Source organism: Homo sapiens, chromosome 9, assembly GCF_000001405.40.
Source record: "Homo sapiens chromosome 9, GRCh38.p14 Primary Assembly".
Taxonomy (NCBI): Eukaryota; Metazoa; Chordata; class Mammalia; order Primates; family Hominidae; genus Homo; species Homo sapiens.
Window position 1 is genome coordinate 86,094,170 of NC_000009.12, and position 7,411 is coordinate 86,101,580.

The following is a 7,411-nucleotide window of genomic DNA, read 5'->3' on the forward strand; positions in this document are numbered from 1 at the left end:
TTTTTTTTAAAGTTTTACTATACACTGCCATAAATACTGCCTATGGCTGCTTTCTGGCTACAAAGTAGAACTGAAAAGTTGAGACAGAGACAGAGACTCACAGACCAACTCTGCCCATAGGGTATTGTGAGGATTAAACATTTACCATCTGACCATTTAGACAGTTTGTCAACTCTGCCTCTAACCCATTGGGATTAAATGACCAAGGTCACTGTGTTCTGCTTAAATTGCTTTAAAAACTTACTAGGAAATACACAGACTCTCTTCCTCTCACTTCCCCAAAATGAACACCATCTTTTCCCCAATGCTAGAAGCTGACAGTGTCTAAAGATTAAAACTTTTAAAATGAATGTATAGTGGTAGGTAGTAGAAACACCAAAAAGCGAGGTGGATGAGTGAAAATGAACTAGGGAACCAAATTCTTCCTGTTTTGAAATTTTCTGAAGAAAGGTTGAACCACCGTCAAGAATATATCCTGGGGCCAGCACGATGGCTCACGTCTATAATCCCAGCACTTTGGTAGGCTGAGGCAGGAGGATCACTTGAGCCCAGGAATTCGAGACCAGATTGGGCAATGTTATGCAGGGAGACCCTGTCTCTACAAAAAAATATTTAAAAAAGAATACATCTTGGGCCAGGCACGGTGGCTAATGCCTGTAATCCCAGCACTTTGGGAGGCCAAGGCAGGCGGATCACCTGAGATCGGGAGTTCAAGACCAGCCTGACCAACATGGAGAAACCCTGTCTTTACTAAAAATACAAAATTAGCCGGGCGTGGTGGTGCATGCCTGTAATCCCAGATAGTTGGGAGGCTGACGCAGGAGAATCACTAGAACCTGGGAAGCGGAGTTTTCGGTGAGCCGAGATAGTGCCATTGCTCTCCAGCCTGGGCAAAAACCCCGTCTAAAAAAAAAAAAAAGAAAAAGAAAAGAAAAGAAAAAAGAATACATCTCAGTAGGAGCTCAATTTTTCCTTGAGTCACAAACTGCCGCCCAAGGGCCCAATCCTGCCAGCCATCTATTTTTGTACACTGCCCACAAATTAAGAATAGTTTTTACATTTTTTTTCTTTTTTTTTGAGACGAAGTCTTGCTTTGTCACCCAGGCTGGAGTGCAGTGGCGCAATCTCAGCTGTCTGTAACCTCTGCCTCCTGGGTTCAAGTGATTCGAATGTCTCAGCCTCCCAGGTAGCTGGAATTACAGGCACATGCCACCACGCCCAGCTAATTTTTGTATTTTCCCTTTTTTTTTTTTTTTAAAATAGAGATGGGGTTTCACCATGTTGGCCAGGTTGGTCTCGAACTCCTGACTTGAAGTGATCCGCCCACCTCAGCCTCCCAAAGTGCTGGGATTACAGGCATGAGCCAACGTGCCTGGCCAGTTTTTACATTTTCAATGGTTGAAGAAAGTTAAAAGAATAATATTTCATGACAGAGTGCTTCAAAGGGCTGAGATAAATTCTCCACATATTCCTGGCTGCCTGGAAGATTATGCGCGCGTGGGAAAGACCCAAAAGAGCCCAGCAGGGCTGAAAACCAAGAAGAACCGAGAACCAGCTGAAACTTGCAGTGTTCCCCAACTCGCACACAGACCTACTGATAGAGGGATGGAGACTGACCTGGCAGGTGACTCCTGGTTCAGTGCTCCTTGGAGAATTTGGATGCCATGAAGTGATATTAGATGTCAGTTTAGCTACCTGTTATTTTGAGTGCTTCCTTAGCGGTACTGTTGAGGCAGTGTGGCTTAGGAAAAGAGTACTGATGTGGGTCAGGCCAAAAGGAATTTTAATCCTAGCTTTCTTACTATTTGCATGAATTTTGGTGAGTTGTATAATCCCCCTCTCTGTATCTTATTCAATCCTTGTAAAAGTCCATTGAAGTAGGCTTACTACTGACCCCATGTTCTAGGATGCAGTGATATGAGACTTTAAATATGTAAAACCTTTTGTTGTGAGGATTAAAAATTACAGCGGCAATAAAGTACACACCACATGATAACTGCTCGATAGGTTTTTTTTTTTTTTTTGGTTTGGAAATAAAAGGATATCTCATGACACATGAAAATTACATGAAACTAAAACTTCTGTATCCATAAATAAAGTTTTACTGGAACAGAACCATGCCCATTCATTTACATATTATCTGTGGCTACTGGGCTATAACAGCAGAGCTGAGTAGTTGTGACAGGGACCACAGGGTCTGCAACATCTAAAATAGTATCTGGTCCTTTTCAGAAACAGGTTGCCAACTCCTGCTGTAGTTCAATGGTCCTTAAAGTGTGGTCCCCATATTAGCAGCATCAGCATTACCTTGGAATTTGTCAGAAATGCAAATTTTGTGGCCGACCCCAGACCTACCAAGTCAGAGGTCTGTTTATTCCACTAATAAATGCAAACACAGGACAGCAAAATACCGTGGCTGGCAAAGCTCTATACTGAGTCAGCCTTGCATGAGATACCTCATGAAGTAGAAACTATGCTGATGTAATCAGATCTGACAAGACACAGGCCCAAAATACTTAAAATTAAGAGAAAGAGTATTTAAAACAGGGTTTCTACCTCTAATGTTGTTAACAAATCCAGCCCTATGTGTATATTGGGCCTTGAGACACAATATAACCATAACAGCAAATACATGTAGTTTATAAATAAGCAACAAATGCACATACAGAAGAGTGTTAAAAAAGTTTTTTTATTACTAAGAAACATCAAAAAAGTTGGGAAACGATAGCAAATTACAATATAAACAACTATAATCATATTATATAGTATTTATATATGTACTTTTTTCTGTCAGGCACTAATCTTCAAAATCTTAGCAAGGGAAGTCCTACTAATAAAGTGCTTAAGGGTTTTAAAGGAAAATAAGACCAAAATGTAAAAATCTGAGAAGGCATGGACTTTTTTTTTTTTTTTTCCTGAAAGTGTGAGAAATATCTGTGTGAAAGAAAGGAAAGACTCTCTGGAAATTTAAGAAACACTTCATAAATTTGGAGACAAGTCTCTCTTTTAATGTAACTTCATCAATAACGTGAGAAGTCCAGAAAACCACCATGATCTTTAAGAACAGTTTTTGGGGAGCAAGTGAAATATCATTCGCCCTTTTCTAAGGTGAGAGCAAAAGCATAGTAGCACCATTCCTTCTGTTCCTTCTACTTTTTTACAAATGTTTAAAAAATTGTTTTGTTTTACAAAAACAGAAGTGCTTTTAAAAAATCCCAATTACAAATGTTATTTCTCACATTACGTCACTGAAAAAGAAATGTATCTTTTTTCATAGGGCAACTTATTTTTTTTTTATTTCAAGAAAAAACAAGTAATAACAATAATGCTGCAGAATTTAAGCCAAAGGCACAGAACACCGCTCCCCCGCCCCCAATGGCCACCCCAGGTCCTTTGAGAAAGGCGGCTGGACCTCAGGGACCACGCTGCCTTCAAGCTCCCTCCCACCAATAGTGCCCATCAACTGACACCTGTCTTCTTCTCAGCACACCTGCCTAAAGTGATGCTCCACCCTTCCTACTGATCCACGCAGACGCATTTTCCCCAGGTTCTGCCCTCTGTACTTCCAATGCAGAAAGCCAGCTCGCACTTTCACAGGATAAGGGTAGCAGTTCCCTCCTTCCTGGGGAAGGTGGCCATATATATATAAACCCGGGTAGCCCTGGGCCTGCTATGGTCAGCTGTCCTAACTGTTGTTTCTGCCCAGCCCTCAACAACAACAACAACAGCGGGTGGAATGTAAATGCAAAATCTTTTCATTTCCCATCAATAACTGGACCTAAACCAGCCATTAGAAAGCAGATGGTATCCCTGGCCCTTAATATCCAAGTCACCACAATTTCCTGGCCCCACCCTCAGCACTACTTTCCTCTCATTTCTTTCGTTTTCCTGTAAAACCAACTTTAAAAAAAAATGTGAAAATTGGATAACCTCTCCATAGGAGAACAAAATGTATCTTAAAAGCTAACCTCTTTTCTTTAACCATCCTAACAATTCAATTTTTGTTCACTGACACCTTAAGAATTGAGTGTCTGGCCTAAAAACAGTAAGTCTTAGCAAGTTACTAGTTTCTATTAAGAAAGAAAGTAATGAGCTTAGCTTCATCTTTTATAACACAACTGGAAGAAGCTAGGATGCCTTTGGAGACCCACAAAAACTGACAAGAGATTGTCCCATGCCCTCCAAAATTCAGAAATACTAAAACTGAGATTTGAGCCAACCTGATGGCCATGAGCTAAACAAAGCCACTCAAGCGCTGCTAAATACTTCATCAGGTTATTGTGTATCTCACTAATCCAGCCCTAGAAATGTTCCTCAATAATGTGCATAATGTAGGGCCTAGGGACCCCAAATCAGACAAAGAAAACCTCAAAATCGTGAAAGTCACACAAGTTTAGTTTTGCAAATCTGGCTATGGGACATCTGAAATTGTCCAGCATCATCATGGTATTTCAAATATAATAATTCTTAAATTTTGCTAAAAAATTTCATCAAAATTGTTATTCTTCACATTTTGTTTCTTAAAAGCAAATCATTAAAAATATTAAATGGGATATGATTTTTACAGCAGGGCAAAGTTGTGTGGATCCTCCACGTTGGCAAAGGTGGAAACACAGGTATGCGAGAAAACCCCGAGCATCCACGAGAACGGGATGCAGCCGCGCTCTGGACGCGCGGCGGGAGGACCCGGAGCCCAAGCTCCGGGGTCACCAGCCACGAGGCCCAGCGGCAACGTGGACCCCAGGGCGGCCGGAGCGCGCCTGGGGCTGGAGGGGAGGAAGAGGCGGCGGGAGCCGAGAGACTCGCGGCTCGGCCAGCCTCCCGCGCCTGGTGCAAATCACGCTGCAGAACTGGAACTAGTGCGACTTAGGGGGTGCACGCTTTTGACTTTGGATGCCGACGCGCGTGACAAAGCTCAGAACAAAAAGACAGGCCCCGCATCGCCTGAGACTGCAGGGCAGGGAATCCTCGCGAGGCCCCTCATCGCAGGGCAAGGGGGCCGCGCGCCCGGTCTTGGGGAGCGAGCCGAGGGGCCCAGGCAGCCGCGGGCTACTCGGTGCAGGAAGGTGCGGAGCCAGCCCCGAGCGCAGCCAGCGAAGGTTGCAGCCCCGGCGCAAGCCGCGGGGAGGCTCCGGGGACCGACGCGAGGTCTCGGCGCGCGGGGTACGGGCCCTGGGCAAAGGAGGGAGGAAGCGATGGACCGCGGTTCGGGCAGCCTGGGGCCGCGCGCCGCCCACTCACCTCTTTTCGAGGCTCCGGCCGCCACTCGGGGATCCGGGGCCCCGCTACGAGGCCGCCCGGGTCGCTCTCCCGCCGCCGCCGGCCTCGAGCTCCGGCCGGCTCCGCGCCGTGCGCCCAGCGCCTCCGCGTCCAGCGCCGCCGCGTCTCCGGCCTCCGCAGCGGCAAGGCCCCGCCCCCGAGCAGCGCCGGCGGCGCGAAGGGAGGAGGCGGCGCCGCGAGCGCGGAGAAGCGAGGCAGGGGCTGCCGGGGCCGCGCGGACTCCCGGCCCCACGGTGCGCGCGCCCCGGCCGGTGGCCGCCCCTCGGCGGGAGCAGGAACGCCAGCGTGCGCCCAGTTCTCGCCGCTGGGCGTTGCCCCTTCCCCCGGGCCACCCCATCGCCCCTTCCGACGCGGGAGCTGGCGCCTGAGCAGCGACGCGGAGCGGGGAAGCGGCTGTGGGGAAAGGGTACCTGGGGGGAGCCCCCATCCCACGTTCCGCCCCGAGGGAATGTTCCCGAACAGCCAACCGCACCCAGCGCCACACTCACGTTACCTTCTTTATAAAAGTCGTCGGGTCAAAACTGCCCAGAGAAGGAAGCGAACGAAAAACAGGTTTTTAGGGGGCTTATACTCACAAAATTGTCTTTTTTCTCCCACGAGGCATTCCCTGTTGACCATCATCTCGCCTCGGTTGTCACCGCTCAGGCCTTAGTGTTTGGTCTGTGACCCTTCCACTGCTAGCAACGGAAAAAGTGAAGATTCCCGGACGCCTTCGGGTGTGATCTTATAGCCCGGGCAGCTGCATTTGAAACAGCGCCTCAGATGACGCTCAGGCGCACTGATGTTTGAGAAGCCCTATGAGGCCGTACCTCCCGGAGAGAATGCCACAAAACTAGTGACCTACAGGGAAACCATGCTAGAAAATTCTAAAGCAATGGTTCTTAACTCTGGCAGCACCTGCCATCCATTAGAATTATTTGGGGAGCTTTTAGAGCATTTAGGAACCAGGGTCCCACTTCCAGAGTTCAAAGTGAACTTGATATTTTTTGTTTGTTTTGAGCTTCCCAGATAATCCTAATACAGTATACGGCCAAGATTGAGAACAGTTTTCCTAGAATCATGTCTTCATGTCTTCCTAGCTCTGGTGTCTGGGAAAGGAAACTCCTTCCTCTGCGCCTCTCTCAAATCACAATAAAAAAACAAGTAAATACATGAACACCTAAAGGAATGCTCACAGCTGAAATTGATTTTAACCAGAACAAAGAGTCACCTTAAAAAAGGTGATCAAGATACCCTATTGCTACCTGAGCATGGAGCTTCTTAACTGCAGGAAACGTATCTTTACCAGCTAAAACCTCTTAGCTGAATTAGAAGCTGACCATACATGACCCCTTTAGAGGAATGTTCTACTATATTCCAAAATGATATTTTTGTTATCTGCAACTGTTAAACTGTTGTAGGGTCAGACCAAAGCATTCAGAAGCTGAGGCTGTATCAGATGTCAGCCCTGGTTTTGCAGACTTAAGTTGTGTCACTTTGATCTTCTAGTGAGCTTAAATAACCATAATCGGGGACAGGTACAGGAAATTCCCTTTCTTGCCCATTTTAGCTCTCTTAGTATAGTTTACATTCTTAGACTGGTGGACTGTAACTTCTATATCATTTGGCTCTAAGGAGGGTCTCCATTAGTCTCTCATTTATCAGCAACTAATTAGCGACTCACTCAGTGATTCTTAAACACTTTATGGAACAGGTCCATATGTCTAGGTGCTAAGGCAGCTGGCTGAATGAGCTATATTTTAATTGAAGATGAATTAGTCCTTTTCGTTAGATTCTTTATGACAAAAGTTGAAAATTTTAAGATGCAGTTTTATATATATCTATATACATAATTTACATTCCTTATAAAAAAGCTAATCAGTTGCTGGCCCTGAAAATTCAATTGGATGGGTTTTGATTAAACAATGTGCAAGGGGCTACAGTGGTTGGTTGAAGGAAGCATCCATGTTTTGCCTGTTAAGCATCCTTTCCTTAATGTCTTAGTCCATTTTGTGTTGCTATAACACAATTCCACAGACTCAGTAATTTATAAAGAAAAGAAATGTATTTCTCATAGTTCTGAAGGCTAGGAAGTCTAATATCAAGGTGCTGGCATCTTGCAAGGGCCTTCTTGCTGCATCAGCCTGTGGTG

The 7,411-nt window shown here is 45.8% G+C and overlaps 1 protein-coding gene across 2 annotated transcripts in view, besides 4 other annotated features; it reads right to left on the minus strand.

Annotated features, from left to right (window-relative positions):
- GOLM1 (golgi membrane protein 1) overlaps positions 1-5,980 on the minus strand; it is a 74,004-nt gene extending 68,024 nt beyond the window's left edge. Inside the window, exon 1 of one of the 2 annotated variants that reach the window (NM_177937.3) lies at positions 5,856-5,980. The gene's annotated coding sequence lies outside the window, so the exon portion shown is untranslated. Of the gene's footprint in view, positions 1-5,241; positions 5,390-5,855 lie in introns of those variants that run through there. The other variant, NM_016548.4, reaches the window with a different exon arrangement.
- Positions 4,830-5,330: an enhancer, noted in NCBI's record as "H3K27ac hESC enhancer chr9:88713914-88714414 (GRCh37/hg19 assembly coordinates)". NCBI's record gives its function as "activates a minimal SCP1, AML or CMV promoter by ChIP-STARR-seq in naive H9 embryonic stem cells {active_cell/tissue: H9 hESC(naive)}" and the evidence as "EXISTENCE:reporter gene assay evidence [ECO:0000049][PMID:30033119]".
- Positions 4,961-5,010: a silencer, noted in NCBI's record as "silent region_19992". NCBI's record gives its function as "represses an Ori minimal core promoter by ATAC-STARR-seq in GM12878 lymphoblastoid cells {active_cell/tissue: GM12878}" and the evidence as "EXISTENCE:reporter gene assay evidence [ECO:0000049][PMID:35858748]".
- Positions 5,171-5,270: a silencer, noted in NCBI's record as "silent region_19993". NCBI's record gives its function as "represses an Ori minimal core promoter by ATAC-STARR-seq in GM12878 lymphoblastoid cells {active_cell/tissue: GM12878}" and the evidence as "EXISTENCE:reporter gene assay evidence [ECO:0000049][PMID:35858748]".
- Positions 5,281-5,600: a silencer, noted in NCBI's record as "silent region_19994". NCBI's record gives its function as "represses an Ori minimal core promoter by ATAC-STARR-seq in GM12878 lymphoblastoid cells {active_cell/tissue: GM12878}" and the evidence as "EXISTENCE:reporter gene assay evidence [ECO:0000049][PMID:35858748]".
- Positions 5,981-7,411: the final 1,431 nt, after the last annotated feature.